The 27542-nt window shown below is 47.1% G+C and overlaps 1 protein-coding gene and 1 long non-coding RNA gene across 2 annotated transcripts, besides 8 other annotated features; both read right to left on the reverse strand.

Moving 5' to 3' along the window:
- Positions 9771-9820: an enhancer, noted in NCBI's record as "active region_12332". NCBI's record gives its function as "activates an Ori minimal core promoter by ATAC-STARR-seq in GM12878 lymphoblastoid cells {active_cell/tissue: GM12878}" and the evidence as "EXISTENCE:reporter gene assay evidence [ECO:0000049][PMID:35858748]".
- Positions 12098-12608: an enhancer, noted in NCBI's record as "NANOG-H3K4me1 hESC enhancer chr17:46593890-46594400 (GRCh37/hg19 assembly coordinates)". NCBI's record gives its function as "activates a minimal SCP1, AML or CMV promoter by ChIP-STARR-seq in primed H9 embryonic stem cells {active_cell/tissue: H9 hESC(primed)}" and the evidence as "EXISTENCE:reporter gene assay evidence [ECO:0000049][PMID:30033119]".
- Positions 15491-16182: an enhancer, noted in NCBI's record as "NANOG-H3K27ac hESC enhancer chr17:46597283-46597974 (GRCh37/hg19 assembly coordinates)". NCBI's record gives its function as "activates a minimal SCP1, AML or CMV promoter by ChIP-STARR-seq in naive H9 embryonic stem cells {active_cell/tissue: H9 hESC(naive)}" and the evidence as "EXISTENCE:reporter gene assay evidence [ECO:0000049][PMID:30033119]".
- LOC105371808 (uncharacterized) lies at positions 15958-23077 on the reverse strand. Its single transcript, XR_934811.2, has 4 exons — positions 23013-23077; positions 18367-18462; positions 17934-18135; positions 15958-16482 (listed from the first exon to the last, which is right to left on the reverse strand). It is a non-coding gene; the product is annotated as an uncharacterized LOC105371808 (long non-coding RNA).
- Positions 16183-16872: an enhancer, noted in NCBI's record as "OCT4-NANOG-H3K27ac hESC enhancer chr17:46597975-46598664 (GRCh37/hg19 assembly coordinates)". NCBI's record gives its function as "activates a minimal SCP1, AML or CMV promoter by ChIP-STARR-seq in naive H9 embryonic stem cells {active_cell/tissue: H9 hESC(naive)}" and the evidence as "EXISTENCE:reporter gene assay evidence [ECO:0000049][PMID:30033119]".
- Positions 17697-17991: an enhancer, noted in NCBI's record as "tiled region #4378; K562 Activating DNase matched - State 5:Enh". NCBI's record gives its function as "activates a minimal TATA promoter and a strong SV40 promoter by Sharpr-MPRA in K562 cells {active_cell/tissue: K562}" and the evidence as "EXISTENCE:reporter gene assay evidence [ECO:0000049][PMID:27701403]".
- Positions 17697-18361: a biological region, named in NCBI's record as "Sharpr-MPRA regulatory region 4378".
- Positions 17839-18361: an enhancer, noted in NCBI's record as "H3K27ac-H3K4me1 hESC enhancer chr17:46599631-46600153 (GRCh37/hg19 assembly coordinates)". NCBI's record gives its function as "activates a minimal SCP1, AML or CMV promoter by ChIP-STARR-seq in primed H9 embryonic stem cells {active_cell/tissue: H9 hESC(primed)}" and the evidence as "EXISTENCE:reporter gene assay evidence [ECO:0000049][PMID:30033119]".
- Positions 24096-26581, reverse strand: HOXB1 (homeobox B1). Its single transcript, NM_002144.4, has 2 exons — positions 25898-26581; positions 24096-25445 (listed from the first exon to the last, which is right to left on the reverse strand). The coding sequence occupies exons 1-2, from the start codon at positions 26472-26474 to the stop codon at positions 25117-25119; spliced, it is 906 nt and encodes a 301-aa protein (NP_002135.2). The 5' UTR covers positions 26475-26581; the 3' UTR covers positions 24096-25116.
- Positions 26471-27051: an enhancer, noted in NCBI's record as "OCT4-NANOG-H3K27ac-H3K4me1 hESC enhancer chr17:46608263-46608843 (GRCh37/hg19 assembly coordinates)". NCBI's record gives its function as "activates a minimal SCP1, AML or CMV promoter by ChIP-STARR-seq in primed H9 embryonic stem cells {active_cell/tissue: H9 hESC(primed)}" and the evidence as "EXISTENCE:reporter gene assay evidence [ECO:0000049][PMID:30033119]".

Consider the following 27542-nt stretch of genomic DNA (forward strand, 5'->3'; position numbering starts at 1 on the left):
CTCCTTTGACAGAGGTTTCGCTTGCAGGAGCTGAAAAAATTACCATGACCCCTGTGCTCAGGTGGTAGATGGATGCCAGGTTCCTCAACCTGAGATTACAAAACAAAGTTAAGTGCTTGAATCCCCTCAGGGAGCTGGGGACAGACAAGCCTGGCTGAATGAAAGAGCTATTCTGTTTACAATTCTTATTTTTCCAGCAGGGGGGATGAAAATGTCTCCAATTCCGTGTTTCAAGTTTCTTGTAAGATAGGCAAATGAAAGCACATTTCAAACAGTATTGCCTCCAAGAGAAAGATGTTCCCCTCTGGTTGTAAGGAAGTGAAGCAGTGGAAATAGTTAAAGATGAGACTTTGGGTTGGGCACGGTGGCTCACACCTGTAATCCCAGCACTTTGGGAGGCCAAGAGGGGGTGGATCACTTGAGGCCAGCAGTTCGAGACAAACCTGGCCAATATGGCAAAACCCCGTCTCTACCCAAAATACAAAAATTATCCAGGCATGGTGACACATGCCTATAATCCCAGCTACTTGGGAGGCTGAGACATGAGAATCACGTGAACCCAGGAGGCAGAGGTTGCAGTGAGCCAAGATCACACCACTACACTCCAGTCTGGGTGACAGAGCAAGACTCTGTCTCACAAAAAAAAAAAAGGGGCGGAGGATGCTTTGGGACTGGACACACCTGAGTTCAAGTCTCAGCTCTGATATTTACTAAGGGTGTGATCTTGGGCATGTTATGTGACCCCTCTGAGCTTCAGTTTCCTTATCTGTAGAACAAGGATACTAGTACCTAAGTCACAGGCTGGTTGTGAGGGTTAAACACTAAGACATGTGAAGAAAGCACTTATCAGAGCACCTGATACACTAAACTCTCAGTTAATGGCCATCATTGTCAGTAATGAGACTCAACCATTAAAATAAAACTTGGAGACAGGATTTATGGAAGAAAGTTTCAAAGGGGCAGATTTCAGCACAGAAAACAGATTTATTCTTTTTTGAAAAAAGTTTATTACAGAAAAATTCAAACATATACATAAATAAAAGAATATAATGAACTTCCATATACCCAACAACACCCAGCTTCAACAATTATCAATCAAGGCCACTTTTATATCATGCAAACTGCTCTAGATGGATCTAGTCCATTTTAATCTAGTTATTTTGGTCACAAGGGTAGGTATTTTCTTATAGGAGAGGGAATTCGGGATTTAGAGTCTGAAAATGTGTTTCACCTTTGATTAAATGTATGACCTTGGGCAGGTCACTTAATTCTTTTGATCCTCAGTAAAATGAAGATCTTTCATCTGTAAAATAAAATTGATAACACTGGCTACACATACAAAAAGTGTACAGGCAGTGAGATGTCTGTGAAAGAGGCTCAAAAAGGAAGCACTATGTAAACACCTGCCACTGTGTACAGCACCAGGTGTGGCTCAACAAACATTTATTGAGGTTATTGTTAAGTATTAGGTCATGCCAAAAAAAAAAGAGAAAACCCAACTCTTCAATTTTAGGTTGCACCATTGAGCTTCTCTTGTCACATTGCAAATGTGGTCACTAAGGCAACTGGGCCAGACAGAATGGATGACTCATCCTGCTCCAACCTAGTATGCACATCCTGTTGGTCCAGGAGAGTCACTTCTCATACCACATGTCCTTGTTCAATGTCAAGGCCTGGAAAATGTCAAATCATGTCAAAAGTCTCCAGTCCTATATCTCCGTGAAGGTTCAGAGTGAGAACTGCAGAGCCAGTGGGCAAGACCTGAAAATTATATTTTGAAAAAGCAGCTGTTGTGAACACAAGCCAAATCACCCTTTCAAAAAGAATTTGGAGGTAAGTCTCAGATACAGAATTTAAAGCTGCAAGAGGAGACTATAGGTGAATGCCTGACCCAAAGGTTGGTCCGAAAACTATTTTGACTACAGCCAGAGAGATGCTATTTCTTCCTTATTTTTCTTCCCTTACAGAGAAGAGAATTTTAGAATTTCATCTTTGCCCTAACCTCTGCCTCCTGGTGGCCCATGAAAACAATATTGTCCTGCTCAGCAGGGCAAAGCCTCCTATTTCCAGCTGTCCTTTACCCATCCCGTAGCTCCACACTGAGGTCCCCGCTGTAGATGGATTTCTCAGCCAGTGATTTTCTCACTACTGAGCCCCAGCTGTTTTGCATCCGTGGAGCACATGAGGGCGAGAGCAGAAATGAAAGGACCAAGGCAGTGTCAGTGCACTAGGGTCCAGGTCACTGGTGATTCCAGTTTTTAATGAACATGGAGTCCAGGGACCTGAAAGGAAGGTCAGAGTTCACAGAAGAGTAAGCACAATATGCGTCTGGATTATTAAATCCTCACTGTGCAGACATCACTGTTCCTCAATACCCATTCCTCTCAGGGGTTCAGTGTTGCCCTGAGCAGTCAGGGCTCCTGATCTCCTGGAAGCCTTTGACTTCATGCTGTCAAAGGAGTATGAAGGACATTTGACAACTGGGTTATGTCCTAAGAATTTGATTCCCACTCTGACTCTCCAGGTTTCTGACTTCTCCTTTTCCCCAGAAAGAATCCATAACCAAGTCTCCAAAGTGGCTCCAGGAGAAAGATGTGGCCTGCAGAAGGGAAGTCTTACTCAGAGGTCTATTCTGGCCTCTGCTTAATTCAGCTGTTCCCCGTATTTTCATTTGGTCATGCCTTTGAATTTCAGAGATCTTGACTTCCTGGTTCCATCACTGGAAAGAATACGTTTGCTGGTGGGAAGCAGTCTTTATTTCTTCCACTTCAGAGTTGTTTTCTTTATCGGCTTCTAGGAGAAGATACTATCCACTTCTCTCCCTCTTTTTTTTTGAAAGAGGGTCTCACTCTGTCACCCAGGCTTGAGTGCAGTGGCATGATTTGGCTTATTGCAAACTCAACCTCCTGGGCTCAAGTGATCCTTCCACCTCAGCCTCTTGAGTAGCTGGGACTATAGTTGCACACCACCACACCCAGCTAATTTTTGTAATTTGTTTAGAGACGGGGTCTTGCCCCATTGCCCAGGCTGGTCTCAAACTCCTGGACTCAAGCAACCCACCTGCCTCAGTCTCCCAAAAAGCTGGGAGTATAGGCATAAGCCACAACGCCTGGCACTATCCACTTCTCTGCAAAAAGGCGATGCCCATTTTTGGTGGTAGTTGTGGTTAAGCCAGGCATGTAGATGTTCACATGACAAGGTATAGGGAAAACCCAAAAGGAATCCTAGAGTCACTGAGAGATCTCAGGGCATCTGGTCCAAGCTTCCACCCAAGACTCTCCCCTACTATATCACTGATGGATGGTCATACACTGATGCTTTAACAGCTCAAGTGGTAGGGACCTCATTTGGAAGCCCAGCTCAATTTTGGACAGTTTTTATTTAAGAAAACAAAACAAAAACAAACAAAACTTTTTTTTCTATTCATTTTCTAATTTCACTCAAAGAAGCAAAATGGGATGAATGGAAGCCCTCTCAAGAACCTCATGTGACATCCCTTCAAATCTATGAAAATATTTATAATGTCTGCACTGAGTCTTTTCTCCTCTAAAGTAAGCATTTCAGGTTACTTCAACAACACCTTATGCAGGGAAATAACAATTAACTGGGACTGAAAAGACCTGGATTCAGGTTCTTTTTTTTTTTTTTTTTGAGATGGTGTTTTGCTCTTGTTGCCCAGGCTGGAGTGCAATGGCGCGATCTTGGCTCACCACAATGTCCACCTCCCGGGTTCAAGCAATTCTCCTGCCTCAGCCTTCCAAGTAGCTGGGATTACAGGTGTGCGCCACTATGTCCTGCTAATTTTGTATTTTTAGTAAAGATGGGGTTTCTCCATGTTGGTCAGGCTGGTCTCAAACTCCCGACCTCAGGTGATCGGCTTGCTTTGGCCTCCCAAAGTGCTGGGATTACAGGAGTAAGCCACTGCACCCGGCCTTGGATTCAAGTTCTAATTCCATCAGTTTTCAGCTGGGTGACCTTTTCACCCAGTCATTTAACTTCCCCGAGGCTTACTTTCTTTCTCCATAATGTGGAGACCACATGTATATAACTTACCTATGGTTGAAAGGATTAAATGAGATGATATATGCCTACATTATTTGATTATTATAAAACATTATACATATGCTTTGTAATCACCATCATACTCTCCTCTGTTCTGGCTGACCTCCTCTGGATCTCTCTAGTTCATAGTGTTCAGCTAAAAATAGCAGTTGTTAGTTCAATAGGCATCTATGAGCCAAACACTGTACTAGGCACTGGGGAAAACAAGGACTAACAAGATGATCCCTGTCTTCAAGGTAACCAGGGGATTATAAATGCACTGGTGTAAAAGCCATGGTACAGGTGTGCATGTGGAGCACTATTAGAATACAGGGGAAGGGCTCCTAACTCAGGGCGGAAGGAAGCAACACTTGGAATGGGTCTTAGAGAATGCATAGAAGTTATCTAAATAAACCAGAGGAAGGTAAGAGGGCATTGTAGGCAGGGATGAAAACATGCAAAGCCATGAAGTTTAGTTGGGATAAAGATAAGCTATTTTGAGTTCAAAAAGTCATTGTTGGCCGGGCGCGATGGCTCATGCCGCTTTGGGAGGCCAAAGCGGGCAGATCACGAGGTCAAGAGATCAAGACCATCCTGGCCAACATGGTGAAACCCCATATCTACTAAAAATACAAAAATTAGCTGGGCATGGTGGTGGGCACCTGTAGCCCCAGCTACTTAAGAGGCTGAGGCAGGAGAATCGCTTCAACCCATGAGGCAGAGGTTGCAGCGAGCTGAGATGGCCTCACTGCACTCCAGCCTGGCGACAGAGTGAGACTCCGTCTCAAAAAAAAAAAAAAAAAAAAAGTCATTGCTCCATCAAAGGACACAGTCAACAGGGTAAAAAGGCAATCTGCAGAATGGAAGAAAATATTTGCAAATTACATATCTGATAAGGGGTTAATGTCCAGAATATATAAAGAAGTCCTACAATTCAACAACAACAAAAGCCCCAAACAATTCAATTAAAAATGAGTAAAGGACTTGAATAGACATTTCTCCAAAGAAGATATACAAATGACCGATAAGCACATGAAAAGATGGTCAACATCACTAATCATTAGGGAGATCCAAATCAAAACCACAATATCACCTCACACCAATTAGGGTGGCTACCATTAAAAAAAAAAAAAAAAAAAAAGGCCAGGCATGGTGGCTCAGGCCTGTAATCCCAGCACTTTGGGAGGCCAAGGCGGGTGGATTGCCTGAGGTCAGGAGTTCGAGACCAGCCTGGCCAACATGGTGAAAACCCGTCTCTACTAAAAATACAAAAAATTAGCTGTGCGTGGTGGCAGGCGCCTGCAGTCCCAGCTACTTGGGAGGCTGAGGTAGGAGAATCACTTGAACCTGGGAGGCGGAGGTTGCAGTGAGCTGAGATCGCGCCATTGCACTCCAGCCTGAGCAACAAGAGCAAAACTCTGTATCAAAAACAACAACAACAAAAAAAACAAAACAACAACAACAACAACAACAACAAAAACAAGGCGAGGTGCTGTGGCTCATGCCTGTAATTCCAGCACTTTGGAAGGCCAAGGTGGGTGGATCACCTGAGGTCAGGAGTTTGAGACCAGCCTGACCAGTATGGTGAAACTCTGTCTCTACTAAACATACAAAAATTAGCTGGGCATGGTGGCATGTGCCTGTAGTCCCAGCTACTCGGGAGGCCGAGACAGGAGAATTGCTTGAACCCGGGAAGCCAAGGTTGCAGTGAGCCGAGATCATGCCACTGCACACCAGCCTGGACAAGAGTGAGACTCCATCTCAAAAAAAATAAATAAATAATAATAATAATAATTAATAGATGGCATAGATGTGGAGAAAGTGGAATCCTTGTGAAGTCTTAGTGAGAATGTAAGATGGTTATAGCCATTATGGAAAACACTATGACAGTTCCTCAAAAAATTAAAAATAGCATTTCTATATAATCTAGAAATTCCACTTCTGCGTGTATACCCCAAATAACTGAAAGCTGAGTCTCATGTTCATAGTAACAGCATTCACAATACCAAAAGATGGAAGCAATCCAAGTGTCCATCAGTGGATAAATGGAAAAACAAAATGTGGTATAGCCATACAATGGAATATTATTCAGCCCTAAAAAGGAAGGAAATTCTGACACATACTACAATATGGATGAATCTGGACATTATGCTAAGTAAAATAAGCCAGGCACAAAAGACAAAAACTGTGTGATTCCACTTATATAAGGCACCTAGAATAATCAAATTCACAGAGACAGAAAGTAGCATGGTGGTTTACAGGGACCAGGGGGACCGGTGAATGGGCAGTTGTTGTGTAATGGGTATAGAGCTCCAGTTTTTCAGGATGAAAAGAACTCTGGAGATTGGTTGCACAATAATGTCAATATACTTGACACCACTGAACTGTACATTAAAAATGATTAAGATGGTAAATTTTATGTTTTGTGTATTTAATCACAATTTTAAAAAACATTCGGAGAACATTAGAGAAATTTGATATGGACTGGGTTTTATTGCTAATTTTTTAGGTATGACAATGGCACTGTGGTTATATTGAGCAATGCCCTTATTCTTAGGAGATGTGTGCTGAAAGTCAAGGTTGAGGTACAAGTTATTTTGAAATGCTTGGATGGAAGAATGAGTGCTTGCATAATAACATACAGCCAAACTGGCAAAATGGCAACAATGGATTTCAGGCAGTGGATGTATAGCATTCATTGTACTATTCTTTCAATATTGAGAAAATAAAACCAAGCCACCATATGTGCCAAAAAAAAAAAAAAAAAAGATGTTTCAGTATGAGTCAACTCCGGGTGTCTGCTCCCCGCAAAAAAAGTCAGCAAAACAAAACATGAAAGTAACCATGAGCTGTATTACTAGAAATATATTTTAGTTTTTATTTAAAAAAATTTTTTTTGAGACAGAGACTCACTCTGTTGCCTCAGCTGGAGTGTAGTGGTGCAATCTTGGCTCACTGTAACCTGTGCCTCCTAGGTTCAAATGATTCTCATGCCTCAGCTTCCTGAGTAGCTGGGATTACAGGTGCGTGCCACAGCACCCGGCTAATTTTTGTATTTTTAGTAAAGATGGGGTTTCATCATGTTGGCCAGGCTGGGCTCGAACTCCTGCCCTCAAGTGATCCACCCACCTCGGCCTCCCAAAGTGCTGGAATGACAGGCGTGAGCCACTGCGCCTGACTGCTAGAGATATAATATTTTAGTATGAGCATGGACAGGTTACTTATCCTCTGTAAGTGTCAATTCTATTGGATGTAAATGAGAATTATGATAATACTTTGCTTCTTGGAGTTATGGCAAAAAGTAAATATGGTTAGCCTTGTCATTTAAATCTTGAAGATCTTTACTTTATCTGAAGAGAGAAAACCAAAAAAGTGAATAGATTTGCTGTATCTGTCAGCTATAATATTATACCATCTATGCGAACTGTCCAATCTGTCTCATCTTTACCGTCGTATTCATTCATTTATCTTTTCAACAGTTCATATATACTTACAAGATACATATTTTCCTAGATACTAAGGATACAAAAATGAATAGACGTATTAACAGGTGAAAACAGCAATGTGCTATGTGCCCAGCAGTGGGCTGACCATGGCACAGAGAGAGCAAACAAGGAGAGAGTTTCATGCTGTTTGGAATGGCAGGGAAGGCTTCTGCAAGAAAGTGACATTTGAACTGCATCTGGGATGATAAAGATTTTCTAGACAGAGAATGAGTAGAAGATCATTCAGACAAATGAAAGGACTTATTGGGCTTGGAGCGGTGGCTCACGCCTGTAATCCTAACACTCTGGGAGGCTGAGTCGGACTGATCAGGAGGTCGGAGATCGAGACCATCCTGGCTAACACGGTGAAACCCCGTCTCTACTAAAAATACAAAAAATGAGCCGGGCGTGGTGGCGGGCGCCTGTAGTCCCAGCTACTCGGGAGGCTGAGGCAGGAGATTGGCGTGAACTCGGGAGGCGGAGCTTGCAGTGAGCCGAGATCGCGCCACTGCACTCCAGCCTGGGCAACAGAGTGAAACTCCAACTCAAAAAAAAAAAGAAAAGAACAGAAAGGACTTATTAAAAATCAAGATAGAAAGAGTGCCACTTTTGTTGTTGTTCTGTTTTGTTTTTGTTTTGAGACAGAGTCTCTGTCTCCCAGGCTGGGGTGCTGTGGCACAATCTCGACTCACTGCATCTTCTGCCTCCCAGGTTCAAGTGATTCTCCTGCCTTAGCCTCCCAAGTAGCTGGGATTACAGGCGCATGCCACCACACCGGGCTAATTTTTGTATTTTTAGTAGAGACAGGAGTTCACCATGTTGACCAGGCTGGTCTTGAACTCCTGACCTCAGGGGATACACCTGCCTCAGCCTCCCAAAGATTACAGGTGTGAGCCACCACGCCTGGCCAAGAGTGCCATGTTTTAGAGGGACAAGTAACCAAGTAAGACTGAATCTCAAGGAAATATGAAAAGCCAGAAACATTAGGAACATGGGTCACAGTTCTTAAAGGAGAGAGTTACTTAAGCACCAACCTTCTGTTTATCTTCTTCTTCCCATTTTCAGAGCCTGTCTCCTAAAACCCAATATCTTTTCGTTCTTAGAATTTTCTCTCCTCCCAGGTATCCTTGCATTTTAAGATTTGCAGATACAACCTGGAATTGGTCTCTTCCTCATTGTAGATTTCAGATTTTTTGACCCCACACAGTACGTCCTACCTGCCCACTCTGCCCTTTAATGGGCTTATCTTGGCTCTCTCGCCATGACACTCCCTGAAAGCTTGTCATGTGTGGAGAGCTCTCGGTTTCCTCTGATATCGCCTCCAGCTTATTGAAATTCCGTGGGCCTCCATTTCTGTAGCTACCAATCAGGGCTGATGATGGGAGAGGTGAAAGTGAAAGTGCAGGAGACTCATGAGGCTTTAACTTGGTCTTATAAAAAGAAGCTGTAAATCCCACCCCACCCCCTTATACTCTCACTGTCGTTTAATGATTTTTACTGATTCTCGGCAAAAATTGATATTCCCCTTGGTCAGGGGGCTGAGTGACTATCTGCAAAGTAAGTGAAATATTGCAGATTTGGAGTCCCTTAGCTTGTGAAAATTACCAAGACCCATTATTTCAGCTGGTTGTCTCCAGGCCGGCTCCAACATATGAAAAAAGAACTTGTAAGGTGCCTGGATCCTGCCTTCCCATAAACTATTTAATCTGTTTGACACCTCTTGCTGGTAAAAGCTCAGGTAAAGACATACTGAAGCTAGACGAGAGCTAGGATCTCTAAATATGTTGAAAATGTTATCTGTTCTTTCTCAAATATGTCTCTCCTATTCAGGTATTTGCTCTGTGATAGCCTTTTACCTTGGCAGCCACTGAGGCTCTGTGCCTTGTATTTCAAAACTGATAAGGAAAGGCAAGATCCTCCCACACTGTTCCCTCAGAGCACTTGGTGAGGATGGGCCATATGTGATGTGGACCGCGTGGCCTCGCTACCAGTGGCTCACCCACCTCCCCCTTCTTGTGCATGCCTTGCTCATCTAGAGAGCAGAAGGTAATGGGAAGGAGAAAATAAATGGGCTTTCTCTGAGGATCTCACACAGGCACTCCAGTGATCTCCTTATCTGCAGACTTGGCAAATTCTTTACAACATCTGATCAAGGAAGGGCTTTTTTGATGTTTCTGCATGTTCTCGATTTACTGCCCTGCTGCTGGGATATGACGAGATGCCTGTATCAGGAGCCCCTCAGAGCTTTCCAGATGGGCTGCAAAGTCTGCATATTTTTAAATAAACAACAAGCTAGTCTCAGAATGTGGCTTCTTTGGGGTTAAAGCAACATTTGCATAAAGCAGAAGAGCAGATGCCAGACCCAAGTTATCTACTGCCCCTAATCTGGCTCTGTGTCCCTTTCCTCTCCTCTGCCTGCCTCTCCCCATCATGTTAATTCTGCTGTCAGGACCCTCTACAGGTTCCCCAGGACCTGGGCTGAGTTATAGGATGGGAAGCTGCTTGTAGCCTCCAGGTTTCTGCCTTCCATCTGCCTTGCAGCTGGCTCTGCAGTCCAATGATGGGAGATTCACAGGTGAAAGGAGTTGGACATTTGGACTTTTGATCTGCTTATTCCCCAAAGTCTTCAAAGCTCTGACCCATATATCTACCATGATGGGGTTTTTAACAAGGTGGGGGAGGAAGCGATGTGCAGGGAGGCTGATTCATGTGAGGGCAGGAAACTGGGCAATGCTGTGGTCTCTAACTCTGGGACTGAAAGCCCCCACTTCTTACTCCTCCCTGTATCATGACTCCCACTATCTGGATAGTCATAGCATTCCATGCCCATTGGAAGGATTTAGAAAGAGATGTCCTCAAAGAAAACGCTTCTCAAATTCATTTTAATAACCCCCTTCTCATTTTCCCAGGCTTGCTGTGGTATAGAAACTGGAACCTTCAACTGCAAGATCAGTCACGTTCAAACAATATCTTTCCAAACATGGAGAAGACCACCCCAAGCGGAAGATCCCTAAAGCAAAACTACCCATCACCACCAAGCCATGGACTATTAGAGGTTTTCGCAAAATCTGAGTCAGTGTCTGACTTGGACTCTATTTGCAGTGATTCTCATCTTAAAGGGTTACACAGAGAGGGGTATTCTCTTGCTGAACCTGATGATCTTGGCTATTTGGGCAGTCTGCTTGATTTTTCTTTTCCAAAAGGAAAAAGAGGAGGGAGTGACCTAAGACGCTAAACAATGCTTGATGATCTGATACCTAGGGGTAGTGTTGAGGAGTAGGGAGAAAGAGAGGCCATCATCCTAAATGTACTGCATATTCAACATATGTAAATGTATATAAATTCTTGAGGACCAGAGGCAGAAAAAGAAAATTATATGTTGCTTTTCAGATATATGATCTGGAATACATTACTTATTTTCTCCAAGCCTTGGGCTCTTCATATGTAAAGTGAGAATAATGATCATACTAACCTCCCAGAGATGTAGTGAGAAATAAGCGCTAATAGCAAAGTGCTAGATAAATGTCAATAACAATAACGACAACAAAGCTAGTAACAGCTGCCACCAAGGAGGAAGGTGGGGATACAGTTTCATGAAAGAAATAGATAGTCAGGCATCGTAGCTCATGTCTGTAATCCCAGTGACTCAGGAGGCTGTGGCTGGAGGATTGCTTGAGCCGAGGAGTTCCAGACCAGCCTGGGCAACTTAGTGAGGCTCTGTCTCTAAAAAAAATGAAATAAATTCGTCAAGCGTGGTGACACACACCTGTAGTCCCAGCTACTTGGGAGGCTAACTTGTGAGGATCCCTTGAGATCTCTTGAGCCCAGGAGTTTGAGGCTGCAGTGAGCTATGATGGCATCACTATACCCCAGCACGGGCAACAGAGCTAGACCCTGTTTCTAAAAAAGAAAAGAAAAGAAAAGAGAGAGAGAGGAAAGAAAGAAAGAGAGGAAGAAGGAAGGAAAAAGGAAGGAAGGAAGGAAGGAAAAGGGAGGGAGGAAGGAAGGAAGGAAAGAAGGAAGGGAGGGAGGAAGAGAGAGAAGGAGGGAGGAAAGGAGGGAGGGAGGAAGAGAGAGAAGGAGGGAGGAAAGGAGGGAGGGAGGAAGAGAGAGAAGGAGGGAGGAAGGGAGGGAGGGAGGAATGAAGGAATTACCTGAACAGCAATGGAAAAGAGGAGTGGAAATAGTTAGCTTCCCTAGCCTAGGTCATCTGCACTTCCTTCCCTTGAGATAACAGGGCCTCTCCTTCTCACCTGTCCACATTGTTTCTCTGCACTAATGCTCCTTTCCCTTCTCATAAATTACAGATTCTACTCGGCAAATGTTTGCTTGCCACAAATGGCTGCTGATGTGGCAGCTCCCTTTCTGAGCTTGGAGATTTGTATGGATTAAGGTATCAGTGACTGATGCAGCCCCAGAGCTCAAGTAGATGGACACAATTTGCAAGAGAAAGAGAATTCCTCTCATTTCTCACTCCCAGCCTGCCCCATAGTCCTTCCCTGCCCCGGCTATCCTGCTTATGTCAATAGAAACACAGTGCTAGCTCAAGGGATATAGTATTCTCACTGTATTAGAATTTATCTGATTATACAATATTTTCTATTCAGTTCTGGATACCTCATTTTATAGAATATATTAACTAAGGAAGGAAGAACAGAGTGAGGAAAGATCTGGAAATCAGGTCTCAGGAGGAACAAATGAAGAAATTGAGAATGTATATTGCTCAACAGAGGGAAAGACCTATGGGCACACAGGACAGCTGTCTTCAAATATTTGGAGAGGTAGCGTAGGGAAAAGGAGTTAAGAGTTATTGTGTTGGCTCCAGAGGGCAACAAAGAAGTAGAATCAATGGGTGTAAGTGCCAAGAAGGCAAACTCCCATTCCATATAAAGAACCATTCTATCATTTACAGCAGCCTAACATTATGGGAGTCTTCCTTATAAATAGTGATCTCTGCCAGGCACAGTGGCTCATGCTTATAATCCCAGCACTTTGGGAGGCTGAGGAAGGCAGATCACTTGAGGTCAGGAGTTCGAGACCAGCCTGGCCAACATGAAGAAACCCCGTCTCTACTAAGAAATACAAAAATTAGCCAGGCATGGTGGCGGGTGCCTGTAATCTCAGCTACTTGGGAGGCTGAGGCAGGGAGAATTGCTTGAATCCAGGAGGTGGAGGTTGCAGTGAGCTGAGATTGTACCACTGCACTCCAGCCTGAGTGACAGAGCGAGACTCCGTCTCAAAAAAAAAAAAAAAAAAGAAAACAAACAAAAAACCAAAAACCCACCATCTCAGTCTTCTTGTTTTTTGAGACAGGGTCTCACTCTGTTGCCCAGGCTGGAGTGCAGTGGCGCTATCTTGGCTCACTGCAGACTGCCTCCTGGGCTCAAGCGATCTTCCACATCAGCCTCCTGAGTAGCTACAGGTATGCACTACCATGCCTGGCTAATTTTGTTCATTTTTTTATAGAGACAGTCTCCCTATGTTGCTCAGGCTGGTCTTGAGCTCCTGGGTTCAAGGGGTCCTCCCACCTTGGCTTCCAAAAGTGTTGGGTTTACAGGTGTGAGCCACTGCAACCAGCCTCCAGCTGAGATTTAAAGCCTGCCTCAATTGAAAGGAGAGGATGGAAGAGGGCTCCTCTAGGTTTCCACATGACCCAAGAGAAGAATCTGAGTTATTTCTCAGGGACTGGGCAAACATTTACACTCGTCACCAAAAACAAAACTGAGAATTAAACTTAAAGGTTCTGGGAAGGATAAAAAGAGGGAAGTGGGTATTTTCTTGTTTACTAAGGGAGGAATCCGACTTTGAGAGCAACTCAGCGCCTGCCCAATGCAGAGGTAATACTGAAAAAGAGGTTTATGGTATCTATTAAATTAAATGGAAACCTAAGGCATTGTTTTTGTCTGGAGATTTGTGTACAAGAGGACTAGAGGAAGAAAAAGAATAAAGCAAAATCTGCATTGAATTTTTTTCCAGTCTCCCATATTCCTTTGATTTTGAAAAAAATAAAGAGGTCAGATGTGGCTCATGCCTGTAATCCCAATGCTTTGGGAGGCCAAGGCAGGAGGATCACTTGAGCCCAGGAGTTCAAGACCAGCCTAAGCAACATAGTGAGAGCCCATATCCACAAAAAGTAGAAAAAAATTACTCGGGTGTGGTGGTGCATGCCTGTAGTCCCAGCAACTTGGGAGGCTGAGGCAGGAGGATTAGCTTGAGCCCAGGAGGTCGAGGTTGAGGTTGAGGCTCAAATAGAAACTCCAGAGGGTGGAAGAGAAAGAGACTGTTTTCTCATAATTAACAATACTTGTCTCCCTCGCCAGCTTTCTCTGGTTATGCAGAAACCAGGTCTGCAAAACTGTGTACAAGGTCAGTTTGTTTTCTGACTGAGAACACAAGGAACAATGCTTGTGTTTTCATTTGTTTGCTTGTTTGTTTGATTTTGAGATGGAGTCTTGCTCTGTTGCCCAGGCTGGGGTGCAGTGGTGTGATCTCAGCTCATGGCAACCTCCGCCTCCCAGGTTCAAGCAATTCTCCCTGCCTCAGCCTCCCAAGTAGCTAGGATTACAGGTGTGCACCACCACACCCAGCTAATTTTTGTATTTTTAGTAGAGACAGGGTTTCGCCATGTTGGCCAGGTTGGTCTCGAACTCCTGACTTCAGGTGATCCACCCACATCGGCCTCCCAAAGTACTGGGATTACAAGCATCAGCCACCATGCCTGGCAACAATGCTTGCTTACAGATAGGTCTGCAAATGTGTAAGGGAGGCCAGCAAGTCTGCAGCAATGTGTCCAGGTGTGGATTTCAATGGGTTTTCAATGGGTGTAAAACGTGCGAACTGTGGGTGGGAACCTGCAAGCACTCAGAGTCTTTCAAAGTCATTTTTTGTAATTCCCATTTCCAACATCCAGATTACTGGATTTGAGTGTTCTGAATGGAGACCCCATGCTGGATTCAGGCCTTGCCCCATCCCAGCCCACCTATCCTCCAGGGACGCCTTCCTGCTTTGCTCAGACTCTTTCTAGTCCAGCGTCTCTCCTGCCCTACTCAAGTGTGGGGATTGAAAATTGAGTTTTGGGGCTGGGCACAGTGGCTCATGCCTATAATCCCAGCACTTTGGGAGGCTGAGGCAGGTGGATCACTTGAGGCCAGGAGCTCAAGACTAGCCTGGACATCATGGTGAAACCCTGTCTCTACTAAAAAATTACAAAAATTTGCCAGGTATGATGGCTCACACCCGTGGTCCCAGCTACTCAGGAGGTTGAGGCATGAGAATCACTTGAACCCAGGAGGCAGAGGTTGCATTGAGCTGAGATGGTGCCACTGCACTCCAGCCTGGGAAACAGAGCAAGACTGTCTCAAAAACAAACAAACAAAAAAAAAGCCAGGCGTGGTGGCTCACACCTGTAATCCCAGCATGTTGGAAGGCCGAGGCAGGTGGATCACAAGGCCAGGAGTTCAAGACCAGCCTGGCCAAGATGGCGAAACCCCATCTCTACTAAAAATACAAAAATTAGTTGGCTGTGGTGGCAGGCGCCTGTAATCCCAGCTACTCAGGAGGCTGAGGCAGAGAATCACTTGAATCCAGGAGGTTGGAGGTTGCACTGAGCTGATATCGCGTCACTGCACTCCAGCCTAGGAGAGCAGGTCTCTGTCTCAAAAAAAAAAAAATTGAGTTTTGGAAGAAGACTGAGTGTGAATAGGAGAGATAGTGGAGTAACTGGAGGTGACGGAAGAGAGGAAGTTCTGGGCCTGAGAAGAACATGAGGTAGCTCTTCCTGCCATCTATCTTCCTGCTGTGCTTCCAGGAAGATACACCTCAAAGGCATCCCCCTGCACAGCTTGTTGTACACATTTTGCCTCTTCAGACTTTCCAGCTTGAAAAGTGACAGCTCCTGGCAGAAGCTTTGAGCTGGTCTGAAATGAGGAATCAGAGAACTCTGGCCAAAATTATTAGATCCTTGCCCTGGACTCTTGAACCTTCATTTTCCTTCAAGTGAGGAATTCTCTCTCCTAGCTTCATTCTCCCTAGGAGGGGGGTCCTAATGTAGAAATCTAACCCCAGGGTGGAACAGGCAGGTGATCTTTTTTTTCTTTTTTTTTTTTTTGAGACGGAGTTTCGCTCTTGTTGCCCAGGCTCAATCTTGGCTCACCACAACCTCCGCCTCCCACGTTCAAGTGATTCTCCTGCCTCAGCCTCCCGAGTAGCTGGGATTACAGGCATGCGCCACCACATCTGGCTGATTTTGTATTTTTATTAGAGGCAGGGTTTCTCCATGTTGGTCAGGCTGGTCTTGAACTCCCGACCTCAGGTGGTCCATCTGCCTCGACCTCCCAAAGTGTTGGGATTACAGGCGTGAACCACCATGCCCAGGCAGGTGACCCTCTTTTTTCTCCTTTTCCTTTTCCTTGCCAGTTTTCTCCTTCCCTCTGCCTGACTCAAGTCAGGTTCCAGGTCCTGTTTCTGTGGCATCAGGATGCATGTGTGTAGATCCATGTGCGGAAGAAGGAAGCAAGAAGATGTCATCAATTCTCAACAATTTCCACTGATGGTAACCGACCATGCCAGACTGATCTTCCCAAGGGCTCTGTGAAGCTTCCAACAGGTGGCCATCCTTGCCCTTGAGTTCCAGTAATGTTGTCCCCTTTCTGATCCCAAAAAATCTAAACCCATAGCCCTGTGTGAATTCACCTTACTCACCTTAGAAGGGGGAAGACAACCCAGATGTTTTTGGAAAAGATGAAACCAAACCCTGGTATAGTGGTGGAGAAGGGAATCTGACACTAGCTTCTGTGGGAAGTGGGAAGATGGAAAGGAAGGGTTGAGACAGGCTCACTTCTCTTGGGTGTCCCTGCAGGAGGTCTTCTCTGTCCATTTTCTGCCAATAGAAACATCCAGCTGGTCCTTCAAATCCTTTACATTTCCAAAGTTGAGTCTTTTCTTGGGTTTACACTTGCTAAAGTAAAGGAAGCCAAACAAAACAAAAGAACAAACAAAAACTCTGTGGGAGAACCCTTAGATCAGACTCGCCCTAAAGCTATCCAGTGAATGCTTTGTCATTTGCCTGAGATAAATTCCTCTAACAGAAGGGAGGGAGAAAGAAAATGCCTCCCAAGTCCTCATCCATCTCTAACCCTGTCTGAAATATCTTCATATTAACATATTCATTATGATAGCACTATTAGACTAATCAAACATCTAAAGCTAACATCGTTTCTTCATTTCTTTCTTTTTTTTTTTTTTTTTTTTGAGACAGAGTCTCACTCTGTCGCCCAGGCTGGAGTGCAGTGGCGTGATCTCGGCTCACTGCAACCTCCACCTTGCTGGTTCAAGCAACTCCTCTGCCTCAGCCTCTTGAGTAGCTGGGATTACAGGCGCATGCCACCATGCCCGGCTAATTTTTTTTTTTTTTTTTTGTATTTTTAGTAGAGAGTGGGTTTTACCATGTTGGCTAGACTGGTCTCGAACTCCTGACCTCAGGCAATTTGCCCGCCTTGGCCTCCCAAAGTGCTGGGATTACAGGCGTGAGCCACTGTGCCCAGCCTAACATCATTTCAGAACACCATTTTTGGGGTGCTTGTCTTCTAGGCAGAAGAATTTTGCTTCAATATTCGTTTATTTAACAGATATTTACTGAGCATCTACTATGTTCCAGGCATTGTTATAGGCACTGGAAATGGAACAAGGAACAAAACAAACAAAAATCCCTGCTTAGCCGGGTGCAGTAGGCATACACCTGTACAGTCCCAGCTACTCAGCAGGCTAAGGCCAGAGGATGGCTTGAGCCCAGGAGTTCAAGTCTAGCCTGGACAACATAGCGAGACTTTGTCTCTAAGGAAAAAAAAAAAAAAAAGTCCTGTCTTCATGGATCTTACATTCTAGAATGTTAGGAGATAAGAGATCAGTTTTCAGATGTGTTGCTGAAAACCCAAGTGTCACTTATTTATTGTATTAGCTCTTTTCGTGTCTTTGGAAAGAGTTCAGACTGTTACAAATTTACCAAGTTTCTCTACCATAAACCATGGTTTATAATATTGCACACAGCTATGTGAAGCTTTTACAGTCCTGGATCATGTCCCCAACCCCACAGTTCCATTTTAGCCAATCTCCACGCACTCTTCCCCCAAAAGACAATCATTTGCTGAGTCTTCTCTTCTTCTAGAGGCCTAGGCTGCTGGTCCAGTAAGGGTGGAGAGACCAGGACATGACCCCACGACTGACTGGTGCCCTTCCCCCGCTCTTCTGGCCTCAGCAGTCCCCCGACAGGCGGCTCTGTCAGGGCTGGGGAGTGGAGGGGGCTGCAAGCCATTGCAGGGCTGAACTCTCTATGAACCGGGAAGGAAGGGGGTGGGGGCAACAGAGCAGAGCCAACAGGAGGAGGCTGGGGAGGCAGGCTTCTGGACAAACCTCTCTGGCTGAGTAAATATTGAGCTGCCTCATCTCCAAGGTGGGGGTTGAAATGGAGCTGTCAAGCCAGAGTAAACTGAAGGGAGCATCAGGCCTCTAAGGAGCAGAGGGCGCATGTTTGGTGCAGCTCCCTCCCTGCTCGGTTCCCCTCCAGGCAGAAAGGGCTGCAGGGCTCAGAATTCTCTGGACTCAGGCCAGTGATCTGGAGAGGATGAAGGAAAGGGGTGATTTTAATTAGCTCTAACTAGGCCAGTAAAATACATCCAACAGGATGCTTCTCCACCCAACTATTTCCATCTCCCACCAAGTTTACACTCTTTCTTACCTAAGTCTTCATCTACCCTCAAAGGAAAGAATGAGTCCAGCTGCAGTGGGATAATTTAACTTATATTAAAGACTGGGAAAATAGGCCCAGAGAGGTTAAGTGACTTACCCAAGGACACAAGGAAGGGTCTTAGTAGACTAAACTTAGGTCTCCTGACTTCCTACAAAATTATTTCTTCTCTGAAGCATCTGATCCATTTCTTTTCTGATGAAGAGAATAACAGTGGATGAGGGCCAGGAGGTCAGCCTTGGAGCTGAATCCTGCAGCTACTTGAGCCTCCATGTTCTCCCAGGAATGGACATTAAGTATTTTACATCTCCAACTTTTGTCCCACCCAGGATACACTCTGATTATAGGAAGCATTTTGAGAGCCACAGAAATAGCAAAAGCTGAAGCCTCTGGAATACTCTGGTTGAGTCATGCAAGGAATTCAGAGCCAGGACTGAGGCACAGGGGAAAAAATCTGGTACAACTGCAGGGGGCGCCAATTTCGTGGACTACAACGAGAATACCCTCCCGAGTTACGCAATGAGTCTGTCTTGTCAAGGACATCCCTCATTATAATACTGTACTTAACTGTAAGCCTGTAAAGCCTGTATTCTGTGGACTCCTCTGAAACCTTTCATTCATAATTATTTTACTGTCTAGCAGCAAGTCCCATGCTTATGGTGCTGGCTGGGTCTGCTGGTACAGCGCAGGGGGGCCAAGGCTGGACAACATCTGCTTTCATCATGCCAAGACCAAGAATAACTCAATGTAAGAAAGTAATAGGAAAATGTCCTATGTAACTATGTAAAATAGGAAGCCTCTGCTCAACACTCACCATACACCAGGCAGTGTTCTAAGCATCTCTCATATATATCATGTATTATTCAATATCCTTCATTGTATATCTGAAGAAACTGAAGCACAGGGAAACTAAACAACTCACATGAGCTCATCCAGCTAATAAAAGGGGACCATTCTGAACACTAAGTTATACTCCAGAACCCTTGCTCTCCACCACCCTAAGTCAGGGAATTGAAGTTTCTGCCTTCCAGACTTCTTATCCATCTTCTATAATGGAGAAGAGAGGGAATGAGTGTGAGAGGCCAGGATAACTTTCCTCTTCGACAGGTGGGTACGCTGAGAACAGAACAAAAAGGTTTCTCAGCCAAATGAACCTTCAGTGTTCTCAGCTGCTAAGAGGGCAATCCCTTCCATTTGTCTCTAGCTCCATACACCTATCAGGGATCAAATAAGCTATGAGTGTGAGAAGTGGGCATAGTCAAGATACTCCCTGGAAGAGATTGGGGACTATAGAAGGGAAGATCACAGTCCCTTTTAATAATGATAATAATTTGTTATTGCTCACTTTGTTTATGTGGGACCATTCCAAGCATTTTACACATATTAACTCATTTAATCCCAACATCAACCCCATGAAATAGGTACTGTCGTTATCCCTATTTTGTAGATAATGAAACTGGGCACAGGGAATTAGGCAACTTGCCCAAGGCCACAGGGCTAGTGAGAGGCAGGGCTTGGATTTGAACCCAGATATCCTAGACATGTCCCCCAACTCCTTGGTGCTGCTCTCTGGCTCATTTTGATCTCCCTTGTCTGTCATCTGGAGAGATTCCTCCAAGCCTGCCATCCACACTCTCTTCTAAACATCATCCCACCAACTCCTTCCCAGGAGCCCGGTGCTATCTGCACAAGGAATGCTCACAACAAAGAAACCTGCATTGGCCGGGCAGGCGTGTTGGCTCACGCCTGTAATCCCAGCACTTTGGGAGGCTGAGGCCGGCAGATCACCTGAGGTCAGGAGTTCGAGACCAGCCTGACCAACATGGAGAAACCCCATCTCTACTAAAAATACAAAATTAGCCGGGCGGGATGGCCCATGCCTGTAATCCCAGCTACTCCTACTTGGGAGGCTGAGGCAGGAGAATCACTTGAACCTGGGAGGTGGAGGTTGCAGTGAGCCGAGATCACATAGCCTGGGCCATAAGAGGCAAACTCCATCTCAAAAAAAAAGAAAAAGGAAAAGAAAAAAAAGAAACTTGCATTAACAGTTAGAAGAGCTTCAGGGCTGGCCAGGCATGGTGGCTCACGCCTGTAATCCCAGCACTTTGGGAGGCTGAGGCGGGTGGATCACCTGAGGTCGGGAGTTCAAGACCAGCCTGACCAACATGGAGAAACCCCGTCTCTACTAAAAATACAAAAATTAGCCGGGCATGATGGCGCATTCCTGTAATCCCAGCTACTCAGGAAGGCTGAGGCAGGAGAATTGCTTGAACCTGGGAGGCAGAGGTTGCGGTGAGCCGAGATCGCACCATTGTACACTAGCCTGGGCAACAAGAGCGAAACTCCGTAAAAAAAAAAGAAGAAGAAGAGCTTCAGGGTCTTCAAAATCTTTTTCTTTCTCTCTTGTTCAGGAGATCAAAGGGCCTCACAATGGGAGAACAAACGCTGAGGGAAAAGGCAAAGGAAAGAGGAAAAGTTCACACTCTGGCTGAGAAACAGATGGTGCAGAGGATTGGGTGGAGTGAAGACTTGACTGGCTCCCTACCTGATGCCCGGGTTTGTGGGGAGTGGGGGGCTCCTCAGAAATCTTGACAAACTTTCAACCAGCCTAGAGAATTCTCCCTCCTGTGAAGAATGAAGACTAGGCAGGCATGGTGGCTCATGTCTGTAATTCCAGTATTAATACTTTGGAAGGCCAAGGTGGGAAGATCCCTTAAACCCAGGAGTTCAAGAGCAGCCTGAACAACACAGCGAGACCCCATCTCTTAAATTAAATTTTTAAAAAAGACAGTCAAGACTCAAAAAACTCAAGCTTTTTGTTTTCAAACTGGAGATATTTTTTGACATTTGGGAAATGGAGGTGTGGGTGGACAGCTTTCAAATTTTGCAAAAAAAAAAAAAAAAAAATTACTTTCAGACCTCCTAGTAAATATAATACCCTCCTTCCCAGAGCTATGAAAAAAACAGCAATCTGAAAGACATGAAGAAGTCTATGAGTGAAGCAATTTGGCATCTATTCTGGAAAGTTTAACAATGAAGGGCTGGGCACGGAGGCTCCCAGCACTTTAGGAGGCCAAGGCGGGCAGATTGCTTGAGCTCAGGAGTTCAAGACCAGCCTAGGCAACATGGTGAAACCCCATCTCTACAACAAAAAGATACAAAAATTAGCCAGGCATGGTGGCATGCGCCTGTAGTCCCAGCTACTTGGGAGGCTGAGGTGGGAGGATCACTTGAGCCCAAGAGGTCGAAGCTGCAGCAAGCTGAGATCAGGCCACTGCACTCCAGCCTGGGCGACAGAGGGATACCCTGTCTCAAAAAAACAAAACAAAACAAAACAAAAAACAATGAAGACTATCAATTTATCTCAATGGGGGCAAAATGTTTTTGTTAGTTTACCATTCTCTCCTTTGTCCTAATGTCTCCCATGTAGGCCTGTCTAGGGCCTCAGATTGGAAGTGGAATTCAAGTAGGAGAGTGCAAGTAGGAGAGAGGAAGGGGTCAGGATCTCTGCATCTAAGGAGATGGAAGGCTTACATTCACTGGATATTATTTTGAGCCTGCCCCTGTGTGAACAGAGAATTGATTTGTCCCTCACCCTTCCCTGGGGGAATCTGGTGGCTCCCTCTGCTATGATCAAAAATCAAATGGGCCAGCAGCCTTCTTCTTTCCTCCTGGCCCTTTCATCAATCCTCCCCAAGGACTTGTCGGCCCCTCTGAGGCCCTGCTCCACCATACTCATGGTTCTGCTTTGCTCTCACCACCGCACCTTCCTCCTCCTCCCTGCTTTCTTGCCCACTTGTCCAAAATTTGGAGGATCCACAAATACCCCAACCCAGAAGGCTCCACTGGCTCACACTGAATGTCTCCAAGGAAGGGGAGTTTTGTTTCCACCGACACTCACTCTCTCCCTTCTGTCAAGGTGACCTCTTTGGGGAATCAAGCTTGGTGGCAATTTCAATTAAATGCAGAAAAGCAGTTAATAGAATTTTTTCTTTTTCTTTCTTTCCTTTTTTTTTTGTTTTGACAAAGGGCAAGACATCAGCCTCTGAGAAAGCTAGGCTGCTTATTGCAACAGACTTCTCTTCCTCTCCAGCTGGGCTATACAATTATTGATAACGTTGCCTCTCATATAATGGCACCAATTTCATTAGGAATCAAATGCTCAGCGTTTCTCACGTACGCTTCTAGTCCTTTTGGCTGCCTCCCTCGAAAGACCAAGAATTAAATAGATCAGAGGGTGTGGAGAAGACACCCCGCCTTGGTCTGGCCCGCCTCCATCCTGGCCCCTGGGCATCTGGGCTCCCGGGGTAACCGGAATCAATAAACCAGGGCCCGATCCCCGAGGCCCGCGGCATCTCGACGGCTCGGCGGGGCCAGAGAGCGATCGAGGTTTGTTGCCCGCCGCGGAGCTTCCTGAGCCCCGGCCCCCCGCCTCCGCCGACCAAAGGTTTGCCAGTGGGACCGGCCCGGAGACAATAGCTGCCCCCGCGGGCGCGCTGTCGGCTTGTTTGGAAAGCCCAGAGGCGCTTCGAGGTAAAAAGGTCAGCCCGGGATCCCAGGTTACCTCGGCCTCCTCCGCCCGCCGTCAGGCCCCCGACCATCCTCGGACTCCCCCCGCCCCTGACGTCTTCCTCCCTCTCCAGACCTCGGTCTCCCCTCCCCCGCCCGGCACACTGCCCCCCACTAGGCCCCTTCGCGGCCACCTCCTTCCTGCCGTCCAGTGCCCGGAGACCCAGGGCTTTCACCTTGAGCCCAGGCGGAAAGGCCTTGCGGAGGCTGGCCGGCTGCGGCCGGACTCAGGCAGCCACTCCTGACGTCCCCGAGGAGTGGCTGGGTGGAAGGGCGCTGGGCTGGGGTGGGAGTGGGGGTGTTAAGCTGTGTGCCAATTTGGAGTTTGTCAGCGACCCCTCTGGAGTCTAAGCCAGGCCTGGCTCTGGGCGGGAGGGAGGCAGGTGAGGGGGAAGGGAAGGGGTAGAGTTCACGTCGCCTTCCCCCACACTTCCTCCTCTTTTTAACACCCTCTTTTTGTCCTCTCCAAACAGATGTTTCTCTTCTTTCCCGTCTTCCTCTCAAGACCCTCTGGGCTGACCCGGCGCGGGGGCTCACGCCTGTAATCCCAGCACTTTGGAAAGCGGAGGCGGGCAGATCACTTGAGCCCGGGAGTTGGAGACCATCCTGGGCGAAATGGCAAAACCCTGTCTCTACAAAAATACAAAAATCAGCCGGGAGTGGTGGTGTGCGCCTGTGGTCCCAGCTACTCTGGAGACTGAGGTGGAGAATCGCTTGAACCTGAGAGGCAGAGGTTGCAGTGAACGGAGATTATGCCACTGTACTCCAGCCTGAGCAACAGAGCGAGACCCTGTCTCAAACAAACAAACAAACAAAAACCAAAACACAAAACCAAAAAACAAAACACAAACCAAAAAACTGCACTCCAGCCTGAGCGACAGAGCCAGACCCTGTCTCAAAAAAAAAAAAAAAAAAAAAAAAAGAAAAAGAAAAAGAAAGAAAGAAAGCAAGAAAGAAAGAAAAAAAGAAAAGAAAAAGAAAAATCTCTGGGAATTGCATTCATTCCACAGACTTCTTCCATGCTTTTCTGGATTCTCCCAATAACCAAGGGACTGACAACTGTCAAGCCTGAATGCCTGGGACCCAATCCTGCTTAGGCCACACCCAGTAAGTCCTTCTCTTTATCCAGCTGAGATCTTAAAGCTCAGTTCATTCCAGCCCAACCAGCCAATGGCCACTCTTTCTTCACCTCTTCTCCACGGTGCACGGAGTATGAGGCCTCTTCTACCCCTGAATGGAGAAACAGAAGCAGGCAGGAAGAAGGGAAAACACAGACTTTATTGAAATGAGGTAGTTGCAGGTACAGAGAGAACCCGGGCTCACTTGGGGCTCAGGTTTCCAGAAACTTAGATGGCTCCTCCTCTTTCTCAAAGGTTCAGATAAATCCTTGCAGCTGTTGGGAGCCCTCATTGTGCCTGGCTCTCCCTGGGCTGCCCCCAGGGGTAGGGGTGGAGATGGGGAAGAGGGTCCTGGGTTTTCCAGGAGGCAATAAATAGGGGAGGAGCTAGTGGGGGCGTGCCTGCACCTTCCTGGTTGTGGCTTGCTGGGGGCAGGCCTTGCACGGCGTTCCAGAAGTCTCTGGAATACCAAGTTCCAAAACACTTTGGTGACATAGTGATGAGGTCGCTGGTGTGAGGAGGCAGGTCTCAGAAAACAACCTCTGAAGGCTGCATTAGTGCAATATAAATATGCCAGGAGAGGGCTAATGGGGTTAGATGGGGGCGGGGGGCTTTTTGGTCTGTCACAAGGCAGCTGGTGCTATTGTAAGGTCTGTGGTGACTGGATTAAGCATTGATAATAATATGGCTGCACCCAAACACCTCCCACACAAGAAAATTTAAGGTTCTGTGTCAGGCCTAGAAGGGGGAGTTAGGATAAGAGTGCGTGAGGAGACTCCTCAAAGCTCGAAGGCACTGAACCGAATAAACCCAAGTTGGAAGGGAAAGGAGGATGAATCCAGGAGGATGAGGCTGGCCCCCACCCCCACCACATGTTGACACTGAGCTGATCCCCAGATCAAAGGCAGAAGCCCTTCCCTCTACATTTGACAGGTTCCATGCCTCCCAGGCCTCTGGTCCTGTAGGGCCCCCAGCCACCCAGGTCTGAGAAAAATGTTTCCCCATCCCCCCTCCCACCCCCAGGCAGCTCTAAACTGGCATTTCAGCCCTAGAGAGGATCCCCAGGCCAGTGAAGCCCAGGCCTGGGGTTGGGGAGAGCCTGGGATAGGGCTGGACTGGGGCGCTCCAGTGCCTGGAAGCCCCATTGGTGGCTAGGTTCAGTTCAGGAGGTGACAGAGCTGGGTGAGGCTTCCGGGGAGGTGCATGTCGACTGGTCTGAGGCATCTCCAGCTGCCTCCTTGGGGCAGCCTGGTGGGGCTGGGGGGACCCGACCTTCCTCTCGCTCGCGCTTCTTCTGCTTCATTCGTCGGTTCTGGAACCAAATCTTGACCTGTGTTTCATTGAGCTCCAGGGTGGCGGCAATCTCCACCCTCCGGGCCCGGCTCAGGTACTTGTTGAAATGGAACTCCTTTTCCAGTTCTGTCAGCTGCCTTGTGGTGAAGTTGGTGCGGAGGCCACTGGGCGAGCCCAGGCCTGGCTCTGACACCTTCGCTAGGGGCGGGGCAGGGAGAAAGGCCAGGTCAATTCTCTCACCTCTTTCTCCTTCCGCTTCCCTCCTCCCGGGGCTGGCTCTGGACCTCCATTTGCCATTCTGCCCAAGTACAGTTGTCAAAGTTCCCAGGGACCACCAGGTACCCCCATGGTGATCACCAAGTCTGGAGCAGCCTTCCCCATACTTCCATCCCCCATGCACACCAGGTCCTGGGTCTGTGCTGGGTGCACAGATCAGGAAGTGGGGTGTGTATGGAAACTTACTCCTGGGGTGACCGGTTACATACTGGGTGGGGAGACCTCACCTGACCTGAGACGTAGGTTGTGCTCTTACCTGTGTCTACCAGAGCCGCTGAAAGAGAAGAACCCAGCCCAGACCCAGGACATGTCACTGCAGGGGAAGCAGAGATGCTTTGGGCCCCGGAGAAGGGGTGGCCACATCTGAGCCCTACCTGTCTTGGGTGGGTTTCTCTTAACCTTCATCCAGTCGAAGGTCCGGGCCGTGGGGGTGTTAGGTTCTGAAGGGCAGGGTGTTTCCTTGTCCTCGGAGAGGAGATCAGCATAGGCCGGTGCAAAGCTCGCGGTCTGCTCGTTCCCATAAGGGGGATGCTGCGGAGGATATGGCCCCGGACCGGCTCCACCTGCTCCGTAGCCATCGGACAAGCCCCCTAGCTGGGCCCCGTAGCTCGAGGGATGAAAATAGCCTCCGTCTCCTTCTGATTGACCCAGAGGGTAGTACTGAGAAGGCCCGTAGCTGGGGCTGCAGGCGGCAGGAGCATACCCCGAGGGCGCGGAGCTGGGGAAGGGCACCCCCAGGGTCGAAGGCGGCTGCTGGGCGGGATAGCCGGAGTTCTGCTGAAACGCAGGGCTGGACAGCCCCCCACCGTAGCGGCCCTCGCTTGCATAGCTGTCAACCGCCTGAGCCGAGCTTGGGGGAAAGGAGGTTGGGGCGCTGTGGGCGCTGTAGGCGCTGGGTCCCCGGTTACAGAGTGGGTACTCTAAGAAGGAGTTCATCCTATTATAGTCCATGCGTCAAGGCCGCAGGAGGGTCGGCCCGTTTGGGGGAGACACCCTCTTGCCCTACAACCTTTCGGCAGTATGTCACAGCGCTGGGGCTCGAATCCATGGCCTGACCCGCTCGCCTGGGCAAGCGCTTCCCTAGGAAGGGGGTAGGGAGTGGGGGTGAGGGGGCACATGTGATCTCTCCCAGGCCAATGGGCTAAGCGGGCCAGAGTTTGGCAGCCCCAGCGCCCATCCATCACCCCCCAAGCATTAGCATGACAAAGACACTTCAATCACCCGCAGCCCATCCATCTGAGAGCGACATGGAAGCGTCAAAAACATCTTTCTTCAAAGACTTTTGGAAAGAAGGGACCAGAGGGAGAGGGGGAAAAAGTTAGGAGAATATTCAAGACTTTCCTTCCCTCCCAACCCCCAAGGCCTTCAATAGGCTCCTGGGTTATTAGATTTGGACAAATTCAAGCCAGCTGCCCCTCACTCTTCCCACCCCTCAGAGAAACCTTCCCCCTAAGTCTGTGGACCTGGAGGTGGGGAATCCAGCTTCCATACTTTGCCCAGAACTCCCAAACCATGTTCCTTTCTTCCAATTTGTCTTAGGGTGGTGGGCTAGGACAGCCGGGTGAGGTATGTTATCTTGGGCCAAATGGATGACTGTGTGGTGGGGAGGTGGGGGAAGGTGGTGCAAAAACACCTAAGGGTGTGGGGCAGGATCTAGAATCTAGAGGAAGAATTCATGAAGCCAGGGGTGGGAAATTGGCATTTCAGGGAGCAAGGCAGGACTACAGAAATGTGGAGAAAAGGATGAGAAATGCCCCATCTTCCCTCTCTCTCTCTTTGCATAAATGTTCTCTCCTCATTCACACATCCATTTCTCTCCCTCAGCCTCTCTTTATATTCTCTCTGTCTCAATCCATCTCTCTGTTCGTCCATCTTTCTCCATATTTATATTCGTTCCCTACCTCTCATCTCTCTAGATGTATTTATCCTCTCTCTAGCCATCCATAGCTGTAGCTGGCTCACTCACTCAGACTTAAATAACTCCCTATATCTCTCTAGAGAGCCACAATGAGCACAGCC

The sequence above is a fragment of the Homo sapiens genome, chromosome 17 (genome assembly GCF_000001405.40).
Source record: "Homo sapiens chromosome 17, GRCh38.p14 Primary Assembly".
NCBI classification, from domain to species: domain Eukaryota; kingdom Metazoa; phylum Chordata; class Mammalia; order Primates; family Hominidae; genus Homo; species Homo sapiens.

Coding starts and splice junctions, on each gene's coding strand:
- HOXB1 (NM_002144.4), bottom strand. CDS start 26,474: ATGGACTATAATAGGATGAACTCCTTCTTAGAGTACCCACTCTGTAAC. Junction 25,446..25,897: donor GAGAAACCCACCCAAGACAG/GTAGGGCTCAGA, acceptor CCCCGCCCCTAG/CGAAGGTGTCAGAGCCAGGC.